Here is a 25,560-nt window from a genome sequence, read left to right on the forward strand (position 1 = left end):
AATTAAAGTACACTGCCAGCCAGGGCATGTGGTATTTTATATTATTTGTTTGAACAAATGTATTATAACTTGAAAATGGCAAAGTAAAAGAATTAAGTAAAGCTCACACTTTTTATATGTAATCATCTTGCGGAGTTTTATTTTATCAGAATGTTAGATGAAATCAGAAAGCAAAGAATGTAAAATAGAAAAATGTATCTGAAACTTTATTCTTTTAAGTAACAGGTTTGGTTTTTTGTTTTTGTTTTCTTTATTTTCATTTTGTTTGGTTTTTGAAATGCTCATTGTAGAATGTTGAATATGGTCAGATGTTGGGTGTGAAGTTTATTAGAAATTAACCCTGAAAAAGTATGGTATAGTCATTCAGTTGCCTTTTCCAGTGGAGTCTGATTTGGCCTGGCGGGTGTAGTGAAACATTAACTACACCCGCCTCAGCCACCCAAAGTGCTGGGATCACAGGCGTGAGCCACCGCGCCAGGCCCTAAAGCACATCTTGATTGTAGGTTGAGGGTGCAGTGCCAACAAATTCTACTTTCATGGCTCTTGAAATTCTGTGAACATTTAAGAGCCACTTTGACACAGCCATTTCTTGTTTTTTGAGAGAGGGTATTATTGAAATTCTTTTTAATCCAAGATTTTTGTGACAATTTCATTCATTCCTACTTTCTTTACACCAGTAGTAGCTATTCATATTCATTCTTCTATTTTCTTTGCATGATTAACTGGCATATACTAGTTCTTCACATTATTAGCCTAATAATAGTAGTTACAGGCTATAATAGGCTATTAATTCATTATCATCTCCTGACTCAAGTGAATCTGCTGGTAACTGAGAGCTCCTACTCTTGTCAATGGCTTTGATCCCACTGATGACCATTTTAGTGCTATTCCCTTCTCACCATGGTTGAGCCTTTTCTACATATTCCTCTCAGAATGGTTGTGCCAGACTTTCACGGGGAGCCATTTTTAAAGCTATCCTCACTACAGAATATGGCAGCATTTCGTTGGCAGTAAAATCAGTTAAACTGCATATAGAATGCTTTAGTTTCTTCTGAATAAAATGTGTTACACAAACTGAAGTCACTGCTCTTTTTAAAAACCAAAGCAGAATAAACCGTTTTGTAAGATAATTTTGCCACTATAAATATAGTTTCCTTTGGCTTCTTCTTGGAAAGATTTTATTTCAGCTTGCACTGTGAGATCTTTGTCGTTTTCACCACACATTTCCGTCAAGGAAGCCCTTGGATGACTGCCATGATTTGCCTCTGCTGGACGCTTCCTTCAAGGGCTGTCAACACCTCTCTTAATTGTCTGGCTTAAACATCAGGCGAGCAATGTGTTAAAGTTAGATGGCAAATATACTTAAGACAAATATGTAAATTTTTACTCTTTCAAATATGCATTCAACTGGTGTGTATAGATTTCAGAACAAAAGCCAGAGAGAGAGCAAGAAAGAGGGAGGAGAGAGAAATCTATATGTATAAATAGAAAAGCCAAGGTAGAAATGCTGTGTGTGTAAATACCCAATTTCTGGATTAAGACGTATCACAAATACATATGATCAATACTTATGTACATGCAAGTGTACTGCCTTTCCAAACACCAGCAAATCTTGGTGAGCAGAAATCAGTAGACTGTCCATAGTGGGATCTAGAATTTGAATGGAAACGGTCTTCAATTTTAAATATTCATCTGTTTTCATTTGTAGATATGACACTCACTTTAAGAGGTGATCTGAGTTCAAATTCCCTAAATTATATTTGCATTTGACTTATTACACATATTGTTAGTTGTCCCTTGAATTCCAGTTTCTCTTTGAGTAAGTTCTTAGAAGATATATGTAGCTAGGTGACTTATAGTCACCTCTTAGTCATTCTCAAATATGATTATAGGCTATTTCAGATTCATTTCAGGAAAATGTCATGTGTCAAGGTGTCAATTCTGAGCAATTTTTACATTTTGCCAATTCTATTATAGAAGTGGCTCTCACCCATAAGTAGCTTGAAGGAGTCAGTATGTAATGTGCCAGTCTCATTTTCACTTTATGTGGGCACAATGTCTCTCTAATGCTGAACTGTTATATAACCTGTGGTCTATCTGACTACCATAGCTTCGTAGATCAAAATATTGTTATGGTCATATAAATGACTATAATGTGGGTGTTTTAGAATTGCACTTTTGTTTATGCATAACTGGTCCCAACTCAAATCTGCTTCATCATTTTTTAGTCAAAGGATAGTTTTTCATGTCAGTAGTACCTCAAACTCCGCTTGTGAACTTAACACCCAGCTATATCCTGTTAGTTTTTAATCAGGAGGGAAAAAAAGGCTGCTATTTGAACTAAACTGACAGCTTTTGTTGATGAGCTGTTAGGCAGATTAAATTCTGTCTTGCTCTTCAATTGTTCTTGAGGCTCTGTGGGACTTACAGTAATAGAATTTTATTTGTGTCAGTAAAGTTGACAGCCCTGATTCAGAAGACCACAGGGAGCTGAGATGTTGATTAAGGAGCATCATATTGACCATGGCTTAAGTGGGTAACAAATGAACTGAGAGAGAAGACTCTGGATCTACTTTTGCCTGTCCATGAACTCGTCCAAAGCAAATATGCTTTGAGTTTTCATGTCTGTTTTTTAATTTTTGTGGATACACAGTAGGTGTAAATATTTGTGGGGTACATGAGATGTTTTGGTATAGGCAAGCAATGCATACTAATCACATCATGGAAGATAGATAGGGTATCCATCCCCTCAAGCATTTATTCTTTGTGCTAACAAACAATCCAATTATACCCTTTTAGTTATTTAAAAATTCTATTGAGGCTGGACACAGTGACTTATGCTTGTAATCTCAGCACTTTGGGAGGGCAAGGCAGGAGGATCCCTTGAGCCCAGGAATTCGAGACTAGCCTGGGCAACATGGCGAAACCCAATCTCTACAAAAAATATAAAAATTAGCCAGGCATGCTGACATGTGCCTGCAGTCCTAGCTATTCGGGAGGCTGACGTAGGAGGATTGCTTGAGCCTGGGAGGTTGAGGCTACAGTGAGCTGTGATCATGCCCCTGCACCCCAGCCTGGGTGACAGAGCAAAACTCTGTCTCGAAACAAGCAAACAAAAAATTGTTAAATCATTATTGACTAGAGCCACCCATTGTGCTATCAGATACTAGCCCTTATTCATTTACTCTATTTTTTTTTGTACTGAGATTTTAATTTCTGTACTTAGTAATAGCTTTCAAAATTGTCATGTTATCCCAGGAAATTGTTATTTTTATCCAAGGCTTATTCCATTTTTTTTTCCAGTTGTTTGGGGCCCACAATATTGTTTCTTTTAGAAATAAAGTTAGAAATATTCAGAATAATGAACACTTAAGAGAGAATAAGGAGTAGAATACCTAAAAAAAAAAAAAAAAAAAGGAATCAAATAAGGAAGAGATAGATAGTAAAAGAGAAGTGGATGTAAGCAATTTAGAATATATTTTATCAAAAATTGCTTTTTAAGTGGCATTTTCTCTTGCTGCAGAAGACATTATTGAACAAAAAAAAAGCCCAATGCAATTCAATTTAAATTTATCACTCTATTATTTTAATATATTTACTCAGGGTTAACAACTCATTAAACACCAAATTGCTCACTCTTAATGAGTCTCTGACGCTAAAATTGAGCTGACTTAAATTTTACTGTAAAATATCAGCACCATTGCATAAAACTGTAATAAAAATTAACTAAAAGCTATTGAATGACTGTGGAGTGGAAAACAGATTTGTGACACAAAACAGAAAATGTAGCACACGATATGTGGCTGGCAGAAACATGAGTAATAGCTTTTATTCACCAAAACATGATAAGCCCATTTTTCTTTTGCTGTATTGGAGTCTGTGAAACATGAAGTCATGTTTTCTTTTTTTCCCCCATTACTTTGTACAACGAGGGCCAGTGGTGGAATGATACAGTTTGGCTGTGTCCCCACTGAAATCTCATCTTGAATTGTAACTCCCACAATTCCCACATGTCGTGGGAGGAACCCAGTGGGAGGTAATTGAATTATGTGGGCAGGTCTTTCCCATGCTGTTCTCATAATATTGAATAAGTCTCAGAAAGTCTGATGGTTTTAAAAATGTGAGTTTCCCTGCACAAGCTCTCTCTCTTTGCCTGCTGCCATCCATGTAAAATGTGCTGCTCCACCTTGCCTTCCACCATGATTGTGAGGCCTCCCCAGCGATGTGGAACTGTAAGTCCATTAAACCTTTCTTTCTTTTGTTAAAAAAAAAAAAAAAAAAAAAAGATTATGATAGTGCTAGTCAATACTGAGTTGACTGTCAAAAATAAGCACACTTTACATTAGCCAGTTACTTCTGGGACACTGTTGAAGAGTATGTCACATGTACCCACAAATTAGTCAAACATCTTTAGGCATCACATGATATCTAAATTAGTCTTTTTCTCCTTCTCCATCCCCTGGTTGTCCATGAAATATTGGCCTCAAATCAGCTTGCCTATGGCCACCATGGAAACCATCCATCATGAACAGCACCTATGCCCCTGGTACAGGAGTGCATTTCTCCCCAAGCCTACAGTCTTCTGTGTGTCACAGCAATGCTGAGTTTCCCACAGAGGTGGCGTTGATGGACTCTTTCTCAACTCTTTGCTATGGAGTATCACCTGGGCTAAGAAGTTCTGCTTTTGCATCAAATTTCAATTTTTTTCTTTTTATTGGATTTGAATTGTTCTGGCACTTTTGCCACTATGCTGTCTCTCAAGCCCTACCATCCCCTCCATCTTTCTAAGGTCTCTCAGAACCTTAGCTCCAACAAAACCCCCTTCTTTTTCTCTCATTATAACACAAATTTCCTGTGAATATCAATGAAGCAAACAGATACAGTGGGAGCTCGTGAAAGACAAAGGACACCGAGCTAGTATTTTCATTAACAACATGGGCTCTTGTACTGTCAACCAACAAGAGCTTTGTTATAAATTTATTCACAATGGCAATGGCTTTGGGCAACATTTAGATGGAAAGTATTTATGAAAAATATACTATTTATGTTTCTGGATAGGAAACATACTATTCATGTAACAAAATATGACATTTAAAGGAACTCACTTTTTCTTTTTTGTTGACAGTCACCGTGTCATCAAGGAAATCAACATTTAGAAATTATGATTGTCACTAGCTCACTCTGAGCCATGGCTCTACATTTTATCCTTGTCAATAAGCAATCCAGTGTTAGGATTTTAAAAATTGTTTAAAATATCCGTACAAAGAGTTATTTTCTATCTTGGTCCACAAATTTGTCAATATTTTCCACAGCATCACAATTGTCAGAAAACACAGTGAAGCTTAAGTTAAAACAAATCTGCAAAGAAAAAGTCAAAAAGAAAACTCTTCCACAGATTTTCAGAGAGATGATTTATTAGTCCAAATTTGAGCATTGAAACTAGCCTATATTCTAAGTTTAAGAAAACTGTAATTTTCATGTTTCTTTCAGTTCAATACAATTTATATATTGAATACAAAAGAGATTTTCACTTATTGATATGGCTTTCTAGGTGTTTAAATTCTAACTCAATATTTTAAGGATTCAGTAATAGTAGGGTTTCCATTTCTACATGGTAGGCATTCTCTAGTTTACTTTTCCTCTTCTTTCTGTAGAAATTAACTATTTTTGCTTCACAGTCATTTCATGATAGACCCGATTTCTTACACTGAAATTCATTTTAATGTTTGGATTGAGCAATGGTTTGCTTTGGTCTTAACTTTTATTTATTGAGGTATAACTTACATACAATGAAAATCTCAAATCTTACATCTACTGTTCAATGAGTTTTGACAAATGCATACCATTGTGGACTCCATCCACATCCCTATAACAAAGCAGGGAACTTTTTCACCTTTTCAGTACCCTGTAAAAGTTACCTCATGCCCAATTCTCCCCTTCCTCTAAGCAACCACTGATCTGATTTCTATCACCATAGTTTACTTTTTCATGTTCTAGAATTTTATAAAAATGAAATGATATATTGTATCCTTTTCTTGTCTGGCTTCTTTCACTCAGCATACTGTTTCTGAGACTCAGCGGATTGCTTTTTAATAATATAATTACAACTGAGTCTCAAAGATTTGAAAAAGTCAGAATTTCTTATAAAATTGGACATTGTGGTTTGCTACCTGCTGAATGATGAAGACGAATAATGTACTTCAGTGCCCTGAGATAGTTTTTGTCTACTGTAATAAAATATTTCCAGTCTTCTCTGTTTTTGCATTCTTCAATTATTACCTTGAAGTTTTAATGTTTTTTAAAATAATGAATTGGCCTAATTGTAGCCTCAGCACAACTACTAAGTTACACATTCAATAAAAAGACTTTTTCTTTGTAATGTTATATGTTAATGGTCAGCCTCCTAGATACTGATGAAGCCCATCAATTTCTACTGATAGTTAAGATCAATTAACCAATTAGTTACCCATTTTCATTTTTCCTGTATATTCTTTGTAGATCACTTACTAAAATGATTTTCTAAGACCTTCACTTTCTTAAGTAAAGAAAAACAATTTGACTGAGACTTGGCCATTTAGCTAAAATCTAAAAGACCTATTTAATTTAAAGTATAAGTCAAGCAGAGATCTTATCTTCTGTCCATAAATAATAAGAATGATTGTTTTTCGCTAAGTGGAAAAAGTGAGATGAGGCAAGAAGTTGAAGAATGCCTAGCCAGGTAGCATATGAAGCCTACAAGTTTCCAGCTGTGGGTCTGATGAAAAATAATGAGACATCTGATGGAACTTAGGATCTTATTTGAAAAATAAGCCATCAAGTACTTTAACTTTCTGGTATTTCAAAAGTAAAAACATATACTAATCACTTGTTTTTATTTCACTTATTTGACACTACACATCTGTCTTAGTACAAACTCATGTTTATGCAATGAGATTTATTAGACTGATAGTTCATATCTTAGCCCCTTTTCATAGAGAATCATTGAAAAAAAAACTGTTCACTGTGAGAAAACTCTCTCCCCTCACTACTGATCGCTTATAGTACCAATTCAGTATATGAGAAGACACTATTTTTACAATTATTCACATCCTTAAGAAAATAAAACTCTATAATTTAAACAATGGGAGTATAAAGGTATTTTAGAACGTATTTGTATATGTTAAAACAACAGCATATTAAAAATTTACCTTGAGAAGGCCGGGTGTGGTGGCTCACACCTGTAATCCCAGCACTTTGGGAGGCCGAGGCGTGCGGATCACCAGGTCAGGAGATCGAGACCATCCTGGCTAACACGGTGAAGCCCTGTCTCTACTAAAAATACAAAAAAATTAGCCGGGCGTGGTGGCGGGCGCCTGTAGTCCCAGGTACTCGGGAGGCTGAGGCGGGAGAATGGCGTGAACCCGGGAGGCAGAGCTTGCAGTGAGCCAAGATGGCGCCACTGCACTCCAGCCTGCACTACGGAGCGAGACTCCGTCTCAAAAAAAAAAAAAAAAAAAAAATTACCTTGAGAAAAACAAGCAAACACATGAACCTAAAAAGGCAACAGCAGATATAGTGTTGATTGATCCACTGCCACTCCAGAATTATTTATGGTAGCAAAAATAATAATTTTCAATTTGATGGATTCTTATTTAAGCAGACTCATTATACTTTTTGGAAAATAAAATATTAACATTCAATATAATATGACTACCTCAGTCACTTTAGCTCCACAGGTGATTGGGATAGCGCTGCTGGCCTGAATAATAAAATGGTAATAACCTCAGTTAGAACAAATAATTGTTTTACTAGTTCAGATACACTTAACATTATAATAGATGCCCTCATAAGGTGCTATGTATAAATCCTTTTTTTGAAAAAAAGCTTGAATCATCATGTAAATGTTTTAGGGCAACTCATTGCTTAGAGAAATCCTTTGAAGTTTTCTTTTATAATGCAAAAACTCCTACTGCCTTATCTGTTTTGTAAATTAGGTTGTATTCGTACCAGTTTTGTTGAAAAGTGAAACATCCTTCTAAGCATGAAAGTTTTAGAAATAATGTCTAAGTATATCTAAAGTAGCTATTATAGGACATAAATGCATTGATATTTTAGTGGATCTCAGTCTAGAGGTGAGAAGAGGGCTAATCATAATAATTGGGACTGAGTGTGTTAGAATTACACATCTTTCCCCTGCTCTGATAAAAAATATCCTGCCATAGAGAGTCACTGATACTAATCAGAGCATGTCATATCTTTCAGATATTTGGGGACAGAGAAAAAAAGGTGATGAATTACAGTACTAGAGATACTATAGCCTTTAAAATAAATATTATATACTTTTGGTTCTACATACTTTTAAATGAAGATGGTCCATGAAGTAAGTTATGATCAAAACTAATGCAAGGGCTTACAGCCTAAGAAGAAAGTCCAGAATTTAGAGAATGGTGACCTGTCTTTTCTTGGCAACTAATATTATGAACATCAATTTCTCATCACTTTGTGGCTTCAAGAAATTCTCCCATCATAGAGATGAATCACCTTTCTTCCAGGTCTTCAAAAAAAAATATATATATATAAAGGTCTGTGGGAGATAAGCTTAGAAACAGTGGCTGAAAAGGAGAAAAATTCAGATTTCAGTCCTCGGGGGTTTGCATAACAAATGATGAAGTATAGTTTTATAGCTCATCTAAGTACCTTGGTGCTTCTTTTGGGTACAAGTCCCTGTTTATTAGACAGGCATGGTGACTTCTAGATACATTCTTCCAAGACATCAAGATAATTTTACTTCTTAGTTTTTTCACATGTTAGGCAATTCCAAGATTAATCGTGTATAAACTTGTTTGACACTTGAATCAATTTTTGGTTTTACATAAACGGCATTATTTCATGCATACCTCAGCTGAAAATTGGCAGTTATGTATTAGTGCTTGATTTTCTAGACCAGTATTAAAATTACCTTCCAAAAATGTTTCAGTTGCAGAAAGTATTGGTGGCCAACAGGTCTTCCATGAGTCGGGACACATTAGCCAGTGTCACCCTTTCTCTAGCCAGTCAGTTCTATGAGAATGGTATTGGAAGAACAGACAACCTACCTGCAGCACTTGCCCTGTCCTGTTCATATTGTGGACAATCATCAAAAGATAAAAGGGCATATGAAAGATTTATGGTAAATGTCTTCCATTTTCTCTGCCTTGAGTACACTGGAGTTAGCTTTCATTTTCATAGTTGCTTACTATGAATGTCTTAGATGTAGCATGAGAAAATCTTATATTTTCTTTTTGTCTAGAACTCTGCTGTTCAATATAGTAGTCACTAGCTATTACATAATTAAAATATGGCTAGTATGAATAAGCAGATAATTTTAATTCTTATTTCAGTATAATTTCCATTTAAATTTAAAAACTCAAGCAGTGTAAAATAGTTTTCATCAAACACAATTTTTGTTCTAATAAAACTATATTTCACCTAAAGCACTGAAAATTTAGCATTGAGTTTCAGTGTGCTGTTAAGTATAAAAATATACTAGATTGTAAAAACTTCATATCACGATATAAATTATCTCCAACAATTTTTATATACATTAGATGTTGAAATAATATTTTGATTATATTGGGCTACACAAAATACATTATTACAATTAATTTAACATTTCTTTGTACAGTTTTTAAATGTGAATCCTTGGAAATTCGTAATTGCATATGTGGTTCACATTATGTTTCTCTTGGACAGTGCTGAGCTAGTACATTCTGAAATATGTAGCAATTATTTCTCTATGGCTTCATAAAGAAAATGTCAATCCAAGGCTGAGGATTTATTTATGAAAATCTAAAGACAGCCGGTTTTCCTGATGGTTCATGCCGTGGGGGAACGGGTCTCTTTCCCAATATATAAGAGGACAAATCTTGGGATGGGTTTTTTTTTTTTTTGGTCTTTTATGACATTCTTTAATGATTTCTCCTGTGCTTGCCATTCTGCCTTGTACGTAATACACCCTTTCTAGCAATGGGTTTAAAGGTTTTTCCTTCCTCTCCTTTTTGAGCTGTAAAATATGCATTATGGGGAGAGGTGAGCTGATAGTTGAGAAAGGTCATTAAGGGTTCAGCCTGGCTTAGTCGGAAAGATGTGAATTCAAATTGTTATTCTCCCAGATATATACTAACATGACCTTGGGGAAATTGCTTAACTTTTCTAAATTTTAGTTTGCTTCATCTGAAAAAGGTACCTAATAGGGAAGTTTTAGATATTAAAATCAATGAAATTTAAAAGAATCAAGAAATATGATAATGCCTAGTATATAACAGGCCCTCAAATGTGTTCTGAACCAAGAGATCCCTGTAAGAGTTAAAGAAACAGGAAAGAAACACGAAAAGCGGCTCAACAGTCAAAGACAGGTTAATTTTGCAGAATAAACCTGAGAGGGGCTTCTGGCCAATTTTTGGACAGGAGCACTCTCTCTTACAGACTAAGAGTATTTATTGGTTTTAGGGCGAGAGAGCTTTATCACAGGCTTGGAATGTTTCTGTGTGGGGGAGAAATTTATGGTGGGGTTGGAATGTCTCTGTTTGGAAGGGAAGTTATCCTGGGGCTGACCTGTCTCTGGTCGGGGAGGGGTTTATCTTATGGTTGGAATGTTTCTGGACTGGGATGTTATTTGTGGTTTATGGTCATGCTGACGTTAGCCATTAAGCTGATGCCCTTTGGATTTAGGCAGTTTTTGATCAAGGGGAACTTTAGAATGGTGGTGCTTGTCCAAGATAGCCATGCTCCCGCTGTGTCAATCCCCAAGTTTTAAATGTGTATCTTTACTTAGTGACTTATGGAGTCGTAACTATTAGGACACATACAGCAGTAAGTCTAAGGCATATACCAGCTTATCAGATGGATCCCCTACCTGGCAAAGGGAAGATCCTCTTTCTCTACTACCTTAGTCCTTCTTTTTATACTCTGTGCAGCTTTTCAGTTCTTCCACTTGCATTAAAATTAGATTACCTCTTAGATTAGATCAAAAGATTGTCCCTGGTTGTGAGAAGAAAGAATACTTTAATCTAGCACTAATCCCTTAATACACCATTATATTTGGGTACATTTTTTTTCCTAGCAGAAAAATTATTTTTCAGCCTTCTCAGAAGTACTAAAAGTCCTTTGCCAACATCAGCCCAGTGCAAGTTAACCTGTTATGAGATTTGTTTTGTGCTTTGGAAATGCTTGTCAGACAAGCTTTCAACATTGAGATGTGTGATTTAAATTAGTTTGCATAAGAAAATGTAATGCCAGGGACAAATTTCTCTCTTTATCCCTTCTTATACTACAAAACAGACAAAGAGGGTTAGGTGGTTGCTTTTTAGTATGCGAGTAATCACTTGGGATTCACAGAAATATTAGATGCAGTGTTATTAGTGAAACCTTAGTTCCCTTTATAGATATGTCTTATGTCCCATTTGTAATATTATTATTGTTGTTACCATACGCAAACTTTATTTCTTAGTTTGGATGCTTGGTCTCAACCAGACCCATTACCTCCTTATCTTCCTATCTCTTAGGGTCACTTCATGCTTAGAGGCAACTTGTTGAAAGTGGAGGTCAGCGTGATCCTTTTTCTTAGAAGACATAGCCCTTTCATGGAACTTACGTAGCTGATTCATAGCCTGAGTCAGTCTCTTGGATCTGTGAAAAAAAGGAAAAATGAACCAGACATGGTGTTTGCAGTCAGTCTTCTTTGAATATAAAATATATAGGCAGAGGAAAAAATTAAACCAGGCAGATTAACCTCAAGGCATAAAGACAAATGCTAAAATGTACTCTAACGTGAAGGGTTAAGCATTCCAAGATGCCCGTTGGAAGGTTCTTTATCCAACACTTCTCTACCCATTCCAACCCCAGTGTAAACATTAAATAATTCTTTTAAAATTTGAATACTCAAACAAGAAAGTAAAGCATGGAAGATAATTTTTAAATCATTATGTAGTGATTAGAGGAAGAGGAATAAAGGGTAATGTGAGATTTTAGAAATAGGTGCTTTGAATAGATAAAGAGATATTGCAAGGATAGATGAACTCACTATCGTCTTTGCAGTATAGTATCGTTGGTGCAGAGGATTTGGGATAGAAATCCAGTCTGGGGGCCGAGATGTGATCATTATGTGCAATATCATCTTCAAAAAGTCAGGTCATGGTTATCAGTTTGCTACAAAGAACATCTTAGTCTCATTTCCTGTCCAAGGCAGGAATTTTCCCCTGAACATTCCTGACAGAAGATAACCTGTTTTGTGCTCTAATCACCCAGTCTTCTACCAGAGGTTGAAGTGACATTTTGGCTCCATTTTCTCGTATTTTATGCAAGAAGCTGGGAATTCCAGCATCTTACTCTGCTCATCAGGGATCCTGAGGGAGCTGGTAATATGCAGAAAGGATGTCAAAGGGCCATGTTACTAATAGCTGTGGAAGCTCCGCTATCCACAAAGCAGAGATTATGAAACAGTCTATACTTTGGCTAGAAGCCTAAGCAGAATCTCTTCTACTTCCCTCAAAATCTATTTCTTAGCACCAGCAAGACTGGGTCTGTCCAGTGGGTTGTGGGTTTGGGGAGAAGCAGAGGAAAGATTGACATCATGTGGAATCTGGAAGAGACAGAACACATCTCTTGGTGCTTTTGAAGGTACAGTGACTCCATCTAGTAGTAAAAGGTGTTCAAATGAATGGCTTCAAATTTGACCAGATTATCAAATGCTGCTTCCCTGATAAACAGCTCAGACATGGGTTAGAAGAGGTGGCCCTGGGATGGGAAGCAGTGCAGACTCTCATGTATGAATAGCTCCAATTCTCAAAAAATTCTTTTAGTTAACTGCTGTCTGTCTTCTTCTACATTGCACTCAAGCTTAACTCTGCACTTTTAAAATCAACATATAAATTATAACTTTCTCTCCTATGATAACTTTTCAAATGTTTTTTGACATCTATTCAGTACCGAGCTCCCTTTTGAAAACTGGGCCATCATTTCCCAACCTCCAATTTCTGACTGTATTTCCATAATTTATTTAAAGACTCCTAACAATGGAGCCACAATCATAACTACAGGTCCCCTTTATATCTCAGGATGACATTCATTTGGTTCTAATCCTTGAACTCATTTGAAGATTCTAATTGCTCTTGTATTCTCTCCTCTTCTATCTGGAACTTATCTCCCTGATAAGCATCTGTGTTGTGATTCTTCTAGAGTGGAGATTATTTCTCTTGTAAGGAAAAAAATTAAAACTACCTTGTTCTACTTTCTCTGTTGCATCACACCTTCTCTCTTAAGTAATAGTCCTAAACCTTCTCTGTTCTTCTCCAGACAGATCATAAATGTTACACCCCAACCTAAAACAAAACAAAACAAAACCTTCCTTCATGAATTATTATTGGCCTTGTATGCAAGACTGAGTTGATCCCAGTCTCAATTTACCTGATACCATCTATTTCAACAATAACAATAATAACAACAATAATGAATATTTATTTAGAGCTTTCTCTGTTCCAAGCACTGTTCTGACCACTTTATGTATATTTACTTGGTTGACTCTAACAATAATTACTGAGGTGGGCCAGGCACAGTGGCTCATGCCTGTAATCCCAGCACTTTGGGAGGCTGAGGCGGGCAGATCACCTGAGGTCAGGAGTTCAAGACCGGCCTGGCCAACATGGCGAAACCCTGTCTCTACCAAAAATACAAAAATTAGCCGGGTGTGGTGGTACACGCCTGTAATCCCAGCTGTCCAGAAGGCTGAGGCAGGGGAATCTCTTGAACCCAGGAGGCGGAGGTTGCAGTGAGCTGAGATTGCATCACTGCACTCCAGCCTAGGCAACAGAGTGAGAATCTGTCTCAAAAAATTAAATAAATAAGTAAATAAAAATAAATAATTACTGAGGTGGCTATTACTAATTTCTCTATTTTGGTGATTTGGAAACTGAACTTAGAAGTTAAAGGGCTTGAGCAAATACATTGGACTAAAAGGTGGAGGAGCTGAGGTTTGAAGTTTCAATGCAGGCATCTGGCTCCAGGGTTCATGGTCTTTTACCATGATGCCATGCTGCTATGTCTACTTATAGGAGTATGCACGCTTTTATGTTCTTTCCTGTTTTTGTGAGCCTTATTCTAGCTTTTATATATTTTTAAACTCTGAGCTCCTTAGAGAGTTTCCAATGGCCAGTCAAATTTATTTAGGTCCTCTGAATAGTCTCTGAATGGAAGAAAGTGTTTTTCATCCCTAAAGCCCACATGTATACTTCAGATGCACAAGGTTCAAGGTCAGGGCCTGAAGGAGAAAGTATCACAGCACAAGTAACAATGTTAAACTTCAAAGGAAGATAAAACCTCAAAATAAGATATTAAGGTCAAATACTAGAATCTGCAGGGACACTGTCCTGGTTAAGAGGCAATAGAAAGGAAGTAGCATAAGGTGATTCAGCAGGGGAGAGATGTGAGACCAACAGCGTTAGATCAGTGGGGCTGTAAGAGAGACTCTCCAAATTCATTTATGGAGGAGAATGCCAGAAGAGTGGGGAGAGAGTGAGCTAGAGATTCCCAAGTCCCCTGGCAACGCGAAATACCAGGGGTACTAGCACCCAGGTCTTTGCTTCTAATGCCATTCTCTAATGAAAGGGACAAGGCATCCTTGGAAAAATGGCTAATTCTAGCACAGAGCAGGGAATAGACAAGATGAGCCCGGAGAATCTGGTAGTGACAGAAAGGAAGAAAATGCAGAAAGAAAAAGGAAGGAAGACAAGGGAAGGGAAGGGATGGTATGAAAGGAAGGAAGAAAGGGAAGGAAGGAAGGAAGTCCAATGAATGGGATTGGGGTCTATTTCTATCTGTGTTCTTAACAATCTTCTTCATCAGGGATTAGATTCTTGTTTTTTTCTTTGTTGCCTTTTTTTTTTTTTTTTTTTTTTGAGATGGAGTCTCACTCTGTCACCACGCTGGAGTGCAGTGGCGCAATCTTGGCTCACTGCAACCTCCGACTCCGTGGTTCAAGCGATTCTCCTGCCTCAGCCTCCTGAAAGCTGAGATCACAGGTACACGCCACCACGCCCAACTAATTTTTGTATTTTTAGTAGAGACGGGGTTTCACCATGTTGGCCAGAATGGTCTCCATCTCCTGGCCTCGTGATCTGCCTACCTAGGCTTCCCAAAGTGCTGGGATTACAGGCAGGAGCCACCGTGCCCAGCCTGTTGCCTTGTTTCTGATGGGAGTCCAAGAATCTCCAAGCTATCTATATGAGAAAGACAAAACTACTCTTTCTATCCTGTACTGTAATCCTACCTGACAAATATATCCTTCATGCTCCTTGTCATTTTGAGCAAATAGCCTGAGCTTACCTCACTTTCATTTGAACTTCCTCCCTCTTTATTGCCAAGGTACTACGTTCCTTTATCTCTGTGCCTGAACAAGCCCCCCTTGCTATAATCTTCATGCTGACCCCTCATTCTCTAGAGTATATGCTGTTTTCTGCAGCAGACTACACGGCCAGTGCCCTTGCTTGGAGCAGATCTAGACATCATATCGCCACGGTCTTCATTCTGAAGTAACCTTAGAAGTCACTTTCAGTTCATAACATTAAAGCACAGGTTACAACTCATATGACTACATGGGCCATATAAAATAAATGAGTCAATGTGCCGAAGATCAGGAAAGTGATAGCTCAGGCAAGACTGACACTAATTCTTGGCCTCTCTGTCTAAGAGACAGAAGAGAGTGCTAGAGACTATGGCACCCAGGAGAACCCAGACCGAAGAGGGCAGCCACTGCTCAGCTGCTGCCAGTCATCACAGCACAGGAGCAATGGACCAATATTATGAATTTATCTTCTTTTGAAAGACAATCCAGAAGTCGAGACTTTTATAAAAAGTCTGAATTCATTACCTGTATTAAATTTTCTTTGATTTAAAACACTGATCAGGCTAAATACAACATACCTGTAAGATATTACATACCTACTGCAAGAACCCTGCCTCTGCATATAAAGGAGAAAGATAAGCACAGTTGATTCTCTTCACAAGCCCTGTGTCATGCAAACAGGATTAATAGCCCAGTTCTAGGCTAACAATTTCATAGCAACCATGTGGTTATTATGTGTTGTATATATGAAATTATGCCATAATGAGCTGTCTCCTAACAAGATTGTGCAGGCTATAAAGCTGTTTTATAGCTCCAAGAGAGTTGCTCCTGAGTTCATTGACAGTGCTTATTGTTTCTTTCCATCTCAGTTACTTTTGAATTAAAAAGTGCTCACCCTACTCTTTCTTCTCGGCTACAAGTTTTGCCATAGTGCACAGTGTTTCTTCATCTTACTTTCTTTAAAGAACCTTTCCCATCTCTTCAGTTATTTCTACCTGTTCCAACCTCCCTCCTGATAGCACCCCAGTAGTGGGATGGAATGTGCTGGAGGGGTTTGGCCAGTTCTTGGGGGAGTTTCACAGTCACCTGTCTACAGTTTCAGTGAGATGGGAATTTATCAAGCTGAAATTAGCAAAAGACAAAACTGACATTGTTTAAACACATACTTAACAAAAGATCTAACCAGTTCCTCCTAGAACTAGAAGATATTTGAAAATTAGAGAGGAGCTTTTTTTTTTTTCCTATCGCTTTCTTTAAAACACACTTTTCCATAGATAATCTTATCTTTTTGGCATCAACAATTATTTATAATTCTGGAATGATTTCCAAATCTAACTTGTAACCATATTTCCAACTACCTGCCAAGTGTCTGTGCTGGAATTACCTAATGGCATTTGATCGTGGCTCAAATGTGCTCACTCAACTTTATTCCGTGGGCTGCTCACCTCCCCTGTGTGGAGCCTGGGAGCCTCTGAAGGCAAATCTTGACTCATCTCTCACCTCTCAACTGATCAACCAGTAGCCACACCTGACTTAAATGCCATCTGGAATCCAGTTCTCTTTCAGCTCTTCCATTTCTTACAGGAACTTTTACAGTAACTTCTGAACTGTTACTCTTGCCTCTGAACTGCCTCCTTTCCAATTTATTATTCACAAGTTCCCTGGAGTTATTTTCTTTAAAACAAAATGACAGCTTTGTTTCGTTAAAAGACTGTCAGGTTACTCCATTCCATTGGCCAGAGGGAAAGGGACAAAGCAAGTACGTGCCCACACAATCTCTTTACTGTGGTATTTGGTAGCTAATACATCTTTCAAGCCTCATCTACTTCATCGCCTCCTGCACCCCAAGCTGGAATTACATGTGTCTTATTGCCCTGTCCCTGCATATCTTCTGGCCTTATAGACCTCTGTGCCTTTATCTATGTCGTTCCTTCTACCTCAACAGGTTTCTGTCCTACCATGGATTGTCTAATGCCTTCTGCACATGTTCTTTATCCTAGGAAGCAAAATATTTATTCCTTTTCCTGCATTCTTTAATACCTAGTTTATGCATGTCTCATTGCACTTATTCTAATCGGAGCTTGTTCTTGTCATTTTTTTTCATATTTTTTTCCTTTTGTGGGGGAGTTTAGGACCCAAGTCTTTGTCCTCTTTTGGTTTAACTAGTACCTTGCACAGAAAAGGTAGTCAATAAATGTTTGAAAAAAAAAATCCCAGTTTGATAATTAGTTGAAAATTTCTTCAGTTAATGAAAACTTGGTACAACCAAAGGAAAATGAATTATCAGAGTTTACTATGCTCCATGAGATTCTTTTCATACAAGTATGCTGCAGAGGAATGGAAGAGTGGGAATATAAATAAATATGAAAAATTCTTAGAACAATCTTCTTATTATTTGAGACAGAGTCCAGCTCTGTCACCCAGGCTGGAATGCAGTGGCATGCTGTTGGCTCACTGCAAACTCCACCTCCCAGGTTCAAGCGATTCTCCTGCCTCAGCCTCCCGAGTGGCTGGAATTACAGGTCCCCACCACCACGCCCAGATAAATTTTTTTTTGTATTTTTAGTAGAGACGGGGTTTCACTGTGTTGGCCAGGCTGGTCTTAAACTCCTGACTTCATGATCTGCCCGCCTCGGCCTCCCAAGGTGCTGGGATTACAAGTGTGAGCCACCGCGCCCTGCCAGAACAATCCTATTTTCTAATTGGGGTTTTTCTTTGTTTTTTGTTTCTTTGTTTGTTTGTTTGAGATGGAGTTTCACTCTGTCACCGAGGCTGGAGTGCAGTGGTGTGATCTCAGCTCACTACAAACTCTGCCTCCTGGGTTCAAGCAATTCTCATGCCTTAGCCTCCCGAGTAGCTGGGGCTACAGGCGCCTGCCACCATGCCCAGCTAATTTTTGTATTTTTAGTAGGGACGAGGTTTCACCATGTTGGCCAGGCTGGTCTTGAACTCCTGACCTCAGGTGATCCACCCGCCTTGGCCTCCAAAAGCGGTAGGATTACAGGCATGAGCCACTGCTCCCGGACTTTTTTTTTTTTTAATCCTTCTACTTTACTCATACTCTCCAAAGTTAATTCACACACAACCTCCCCAATAAAATGGAAGTGAGGTTTAAAATCAGACCATAATTTAACCAGCTGACCAAATGCCATTTTGTATAAGAAGATAAAAAGCTACCATTGTTGTTATATCTCAGAGCAGAAGCTCTTTCTTCATTTTATTCTTTAAAAACATCATTCAGGGTTGGGTGTGGCGGCTCATGCCTATAATCCCAGCACTTTGGGAGGCTGAGGCGGGCGGATCACTTGAGGTCAGGAGTTTGAGACCAGCCTGGCCAACATGGTGAAAATCTGTCTCCACTAAAAATATAAAAATTAGCTGGGCATGGTGGTGGGTACATGTAATCCCAGCTACTCAAGAGGCTGAGGCAGGAGAATCGCTTGAACCCAGGAGGTGGAGGCTGCAGTGAGCCGAGATCAAGCCACTACACTCTAGCCTGGGCGACAGAGTGAGACTCCATCTCAAAAAAATTTTAAAAATAATAAGTAAAAAATAAAAACACCATTCAATTTATAGTTAGCATGAAGCTACACCATCAATCTTTCCTCGTGTTCATGATCATGGCTCAGCATTTTTCTGAAGTGTCATTAATAAGCCATGTTAGCAGGAATGACCTACACATATGCATGTCAGGAGGGCTTCAGGCCACTGCTGTCTGTGTGTCACCTTGACGTCAGCCTTGATAATTGTCCAGGGCCTCCAACTTCACAGCAGTACCTGGGCCTATGTCAGGTTGAGTTCTATGATCACACACTATTTTCATCAGAAATTTTAATAAAATTATTTTTTTCTCAGATGACTTCCCGCATACTACTAAGTGATCTGGGAGAAGGAGTCTTAGGGTGTGGATGGGATTCTGCCTTGGGCATATTTTGCTCTACTGGGCCCTGGAGTCTTTGCAGATGCTGTCAAGATACTGCACTTTTTTTTCTTTTTTGAGACAGAGTCTTGCTCTGTCACCCAGGCTGGAATGCAGTGGCATGATGTCAGCTCACTGCAACCTCCGCCTCCCAGGTTCAAGCAATTCTCCTGCCTCAGCCTCCCGAGTAGCTGGGACTACAGGTGTGCGCCACCACGCCCAGCTAATTTTTTTGTATTTTTAGTAGAGACAGGGTTTCACCATGTTGGCCCGGCTGCTCTTGAACTCCTGACCTCAGGTGATCTGCCTACCTCGGCCTCCCAAAGTGCTGGGATTATAGGCATGAACCACTGCGCCTGGCCGATACTGCAGTTTTGATGGCCATCACTGGTACAACACCCTGCGTATGCCAAGACTGTCATGCCTTGTCAGCTATAATAAAAAGCAGGAGACAAATGGCCTTTTGTTACCTGAAATGATGGATCAGTATGTATGTGCAAGGATGCACGCTGTCAAGTTCTTGTGGGTTAATCATGCCAGGCTGATGGAGGGGCTCCACGAGTTCCAAAGTAGAAGGAGCTTGAACTCCAGGCTGTGGCTTTGAAGCAGTTGTTTTCTCTGGAATTAGCTAATGAGGCTCTCTTTGTTTGAGGATTGGAAAGCCTCCAAAAACCCACTCAGGAGGGAAATTAACAAATGTCTGTTTTGTTACCTCCGGATAAATCTTCATGATGAAATGTGCAGCCGGTCCACCTCTTCAATCTTCTCTCTTCTTCTTCCTCAGTGGAAGCTCAATTACCATGAAGGCCAAAATAAATAAATAAATAAACAACAAACCAACCAAATAAATAAATAAAGCAGATAAACCGTGGTTCTTTGCTTAAAAAAAGTTGCAGCAAAGAAAAGCTTTAGAGTAATTTCTAGTTAGAAGTGGCTGTGAGATTCACTGTCTTCTGGTGATATTTGAAATATACTATATTCATGCAAATGTTTCTGATTATTTAAACACATTATCTGTATCTATAATTATCAGTAGCTGCTGGCATTATGTGAGCATGCAAAAGTGGGAACAGCAGCAGTAACCTGACTCATTTCAACCAGGATGGACCATCTCAGAGGGTCACAGTTACTAATCTCTGCATGAACTAGATTTTATAAGGTATTATGATTCTTTCATAGCTTGTAACTTTTCATTGATCATCAACTTTACTGATTTTTGTTAATACTGGAAATTTTAATAAATGGGTTGTGCACAGGTACTTATTGAGCATCTATTACGTGCCATAGAATATTCTGATTATTAAGGATGTCAAGGTATATAATCCAGAGTCACGGTTTTCAAGGAACTCAGTCAATAATTACAAGCTAATACATGGGTACCACTGTTCTAGGCACAGCGTGGCAGAAAAGAATAGCGTGGACACACATTCAGGGGATTTAACTAGGAGAAAACAGTAAGGAAGGGGATCTTAGCAGAGGTAGTATATTAACAGATGTATATGACAACTTACACTGCTGTAAGTCATCCTGTTTGGCTGGCAAGTTTTGCTTTAGAAACTGGGTAAATATTGTTCATGAAACTTCTGTGTAAGTTTCACGTGAATGTTTTCCTATGTGTATGTGTGCATGCTTATTTGCATTTGTGTGCACTTGTGGGTATGTGTATTTGTCCTGTGTCACAATAAAAGGTATCTATTTCTGGACTTTGCAGTCAAAAACATTGGAAAACTGTCTATGTAGGTAATGGACACAATAGAATTTAGAAAGCAACTTTTACAAACATTGCAGATTTGTAATTTTCTAATATCATTGATATATAAAGCTGAGTATACCAGACACTTGTAAAGAAATGATCTTTTCCAATGAAAACACAGGTGTTAAACAGAACCTTTCTTCTGGCCTACAAATCACTCTTCTAACACTTGGAAAAAATTAAAGAAATATTCAGCAATGTGTAGAATTTCAATCCCAGAGAGACAGGAAGAGACTGTATAGCTGCAGATGCAATATGCTTGTTATTTTGGCAAAAGCGTAACATAAGAAGCCACCAACTCTCACAGAGGAAGCAGAGAAATTCAGTATTTGCTTGTAACTTAGATATTTCTTTCTTTGTTTTCCCCCTAAGAAGAACATATCTTTTCTGGTGGGAAAAGGGAATTTAGATAATTAAAGCAGAGGGAATAAACATTTTCAGGACCAAAGAGAAAATAGCCGTTTGAGCCACATATTTAAATGTTAATCTACAATTTTTTTTTTTTTTTTTGAGACAGGATTTCACTGTGTTGCCCAGGCTGGAGTGCAGTGGTGCAGTCTTGGCTCACTGTAACCTCCCTTCTCCCCTCTTGGGCTCAAGCCAACCTCCCACCTTAGCCTCCTGAGTAGCTGGAACTACAGGCATGTGCCACCATGCCCGGCTAATTTTTTGTCAAGACGGGGTCTCACTATGTTGCCCAGGCTGGTCTAGAACTCCTAGACTGAAGTGATCCACCAGCCTCAGTCTCCCAAAAGTGCTGGGATTACAGATGTGAGCCACCACCGTGCCTGGCCATCAAATGTTTTTCATAGTGGACTAGGGCTTTATGATCCCATAAAAATTATTTCCCTCATGGAACCACTCCATTTATGTATTATAAAGCTGTCAACATCTGGTTTTATTGATAAATATCCCTGGGGTTTTTGAGCTTTTTCTTTTCAACATAGTGCCTGTGTTTTATCTTGACCTTTGCTTTAAAATTACTGCTAGATGTAATGAGGATTCTGGAAAGAGCATGGTTCAAGATTTTGTACAATTGATATAATGATTCTGAAGCAAATAATGGGAAAGGGGAGAGTTTCAGAATTTGGTGGCCTTAGGGTAAGCTTATGATTTGTTTTATCTTTCCTCATATCTACCTAATGCTGTGAAATTTTGGGATTAGATTTGGATTGGGGACAAATGAGGAGTGGAAATAGTGGAGGGAGAAAGGGTTAGGAAAGTTACAGAACTTGGCAAGGCTCTTGGAGGTGGTGGATTGATTTCTCTGGTGTTGTGAAGTGTCATCTTCTTTCTTCAGTTAAACTGAAGTACAGGCAAGCTTCTCCTGCTGCCCCTCAGTTTCACTGTGTCACCATTTTTAGTAGGGATAAGCAGAGACTTGTTGTTGGTAAGGACAGGAAGGAAGGTGATGCTGATGAATTTTTGCTGGTGCTAGGTTAGCTGCCAGCCGGCCTGGCAATGGCTGTGGTCCAGCCAGCCTGGGGCGCTTCTAGTATTCTCTGTCATGGGGCAATATGTTAACGAATTAAAATGCCAAATAGAAATGAGACAGAATTCCAAAGACATGTAAACTGAAAAACACCTGTCCCCATTTGTTGATTTTTTTTTTCCTGCATATACTTAAAAAACCCCAAACCTTTATGTAAGAGTCTCAGGAGTGCAGTGAAAAAAAAGTGTTTATTGACGAGCCATTTCCAATTTAGGCCTTAAACTTCAAGACCCATTTCTAAGACCCATATGCTTCAAAACGTTCTATATAATTCAGCTCAAAAGGATCTTCCTCTCCTCTAGATCTATAATGTTTATTGACTACATCCCTCAAAGAGCAGTAATGCATCATGGTGAAATAAAAATTGAACTGCAAATCCGAAGACTTGAATTCTAGTTCCTGATCGTTTTTCATAGTGTATTTAATCACACAGTTTAACCCCTAGGTCTCCTTCACTGTGACTCATTATGGTGAGTTCGCGTGAGAAAGTGTCCACCATAGGACACTAAATTCAAAAGAGTGACCAGTAATGATTGTTGTCCCAAGGATGTCCAAATGGGAAAACCATTATCAGTCTACACTCTAAACCAGAAGGGACTTATTCCACCAAAAGAGGTTAAGGGCTCCTTACCACAGTCACAAAACCAGAATATATATTCTTTCAGAGAAAACCCGGATACAGGGCATGAGATTAGAACCCTAGAATGGCATATCAAAAACTTCTGGAGTCTGTTGAGTAGAAGTTTGGAGAATAAACAAATTGATAGATTGATATTTGAATCCCCGGCAGAGTAAGAGGAATAATAAGATTTTGAATCAAGAAGAGGAATTCTGCCACATGCAACTAGGAAGAAAAAAGCAAATTAACTGTGATAACACTCATTAGGGATTATCATTATATCTTTAATGAGGAGGTAATAAAGACTGATTATTTACTAGGCATCCCTTATTGATCCCTATTTATCACTACGTAGAGTAAAATGTACAATTTTTCCTTTCACTTGTGGATTTCATTAATTTATACAGTCATCACATATTGATTGTACATATACTGTATACCAGACACTTTATTAGCTTTAAGAATACCAAAACGAATATGCCAGATATAGTATCTAACTTCATGGAGTTTGTAGAGAGATTTTTTGAACTGAATTTCTCAGCAAACTAACACAAGAACAGAAAACCAAACACCATGTGGTCTCACTCATAAGTGGGAGTTGAACAATGAGAAAACATGGACACAGAGAGGGGAACATCACACACTGGGGCCTGTCTGGGGGTAGGAGGTTGGGGGAGGGATAGCATTAGGAGAAATTCCTAATGTAGATTACGGGTTGATGGGTGCAGCAAACCACCATGGTACTTGTATACCTAGGTAACAAACCTGCACGTTCTGTACATGTATCCCAGAACTTAAAGTATAAAAATGAGAAAAAAAGATGCACAAATAGTGTCACATATAGTATAATAATGATATGGATATGGCCTAATTCATAGAGTCAACATTCTGATACTAAGAGGAAGGAAAAATCAAAACAAAATAAAGAAAAAACAAAGCAGACAGTAGCCTTTAACCGTTTCCTTTTAAAGAAACATTGTTATCTGGGTTCATTACTTGTTAGAAAGTAATGTGAAGCACTTAATAAACTTCAGGTGGTGGTATTAGGTAATTAACATGTGAAATTCCTCATATGGTTATTTAAATTTCATGGTAGTATTTAACAGTTTTCATGTTTATGGCCTTTTCCTGCAACTAAGTTGTAAAATCCTTAAGGGAAAGGATGAGGAAAGGAAGACAAGAGAGAAACTAGCATTTGTTGACTGGCTACTACGTGCCAGCCACAGCACTAGCTACTAAACCTGTGTCACTTTATTTAAATATGAAGGTCAGAAAGCATTTCTCATGTTCCTGGTATCTCCTGCACTGCCTAGTATAATATTTCATACTTACAGGTGCTTCATCAATATTTGTGTTGGTTGACTTAGCAATTTAAACTGCTTCTAAATAGAGTTACGTGAGTTTTTCCCCAAAGACTCATGCCCTTTTTTAGGAGGCAAACTAGCCCTTTCCATGTCACCTTCCTTAAGAAGCAGGGCAAAGAGGTGACAGTTTTTATACTGAAATCAGTTGTTTAATTGTTCACCCATTTATCAAAGCCTCTGTAGAGTTAAAGACAAGTACAGTGCCCATGTACCCTTTATGCTGCAAGTTCTGGACAGATAGCTGTCAATGCCTGAAAATAGTGTAAATTCACTGGGTGAAGAGAGCAACTTGCCAGGGGGATGTGATGTAGCCCCTTCTAGAGTATGGGGTTTTCTACTTGGGCATAGTCAGCTGCTAGTTTGTTGGATTGCTGCTGCTGGGGAAAGACCAGGCCACTTCATGATGGAATGCGTCAACTTTTGGAAAGTCAAATTCAGGATGCAGTTTCAACTAGTAGTAACTATATTTTTCTATCTTTTAAAAAGTGAAGGAGCAACAGACCAGTCTAGACACATGGACGGGCTTTAGGGCTCAGTTGCTAAAGAGATAGAAGTAAAATATTATAGAAAATGCTTATAGTACATGTTAAGTGAGAAAGGTAAGGTAAAAATGGTTTATGACCTATAACTGTGTGAAAACTAACCAAAGAGACACGTATCATTTAAAAAGATTTAATGTTGTGCCTGTAATCCCAGCACTTTGGGAGGCCAAGGCGGGCGGATCACAAGGTCAGGAGATCAAGACCATCCTGGCTAACACGGTGAAACCCCGTCTCCACTAAAAATACAAAAAATTAGCCGGGCATGGTTGGGGGGTGCCTGTAGTCCCAGCTACCTGGGAGACTGAGGCAGGAGAATGGCATGAACCTGGGAGGCGGAGCTTGCAGTGAGCTGAGATCATGCCACTGCACTCCAGCCTGGGCGACAGAGCGAGACTCCGTGTCAAAAATGAAAGATTTAATGTTGGTCAAATTATACACAACGATTCAACAGTACTGGAAGTTGAGGAGGACGAGCAAGCCAGATAGCACCAATGATCATGAATAAATTCCTTATCT

At 38.4% G+C, this 25,560-nt stretch overlaps 1 protein-coding gene and 2 long non-coding RNA genes across 59 annotated transcripts in view; 1 reads left to right on the forward strand and 2 right to left on the reverse strand.

The window, feature by feature from the left end:
• Positions 1–25,560, forward strand: part of NRXN3 (neurexin 3) — a 1,697,919-nt gene that overhangs the window by 1,415,781 nt on the left and 256,578 nt on the right. The gene's annotated exons all lie outside the window — the stretch shown is intronic.
• Positions 8,526–11,577, reverse strand: LOC124903354 (uncharacterized). Its single transcript, XR_007064283.1, has 3 exons — positions 11,500–11,577; positions 10,874–10,998; positions 8,526–8,591 (listed from the first exon to the last, which is right to left on the reverse strand). It is a non-coding gene; the product is annotated as an uncharacterized LOC124903354 (long non-coding RNA).
• NRXN3-AS3 (NRXN3 antisense RNA 3) overlaps positions 11,568–25,560 on the reverse strand; it is a 35,483-nt gene continuing 21,490 nt past the window's right edge. The window contains exons 3-4 of one of the 2 annotated variants that reach the window (XR_001751001.3): positions 19,987–20,064; positions 11,568–11,646 (exon numbers count right to left, since the gene is read on the reverse strand). This is a non-coding gene — a long non-coding RNA (NRXN3 antisense RNA 3). Of the gene's footprint in view, positions 11,647–13,140; positions 13,338–19,986; positions 20,065–25,560 lie in introns of those variants that run through there. The other variant, XR_007064281.1, reaches the window with a different exon arrangement.

Source organism: Homo sapiens, chromosome 14 (assembly GCF_000001405.40).
Source record: "Homo sapiens chromosome 14, GRCh38.p14 Primary Assembly".
NCBI classification, from domain to species: Eukaryota; Metazoa; Chordata; class Mammalia; order Primates; family Hominidae; genus Homo; species Homo sapiens.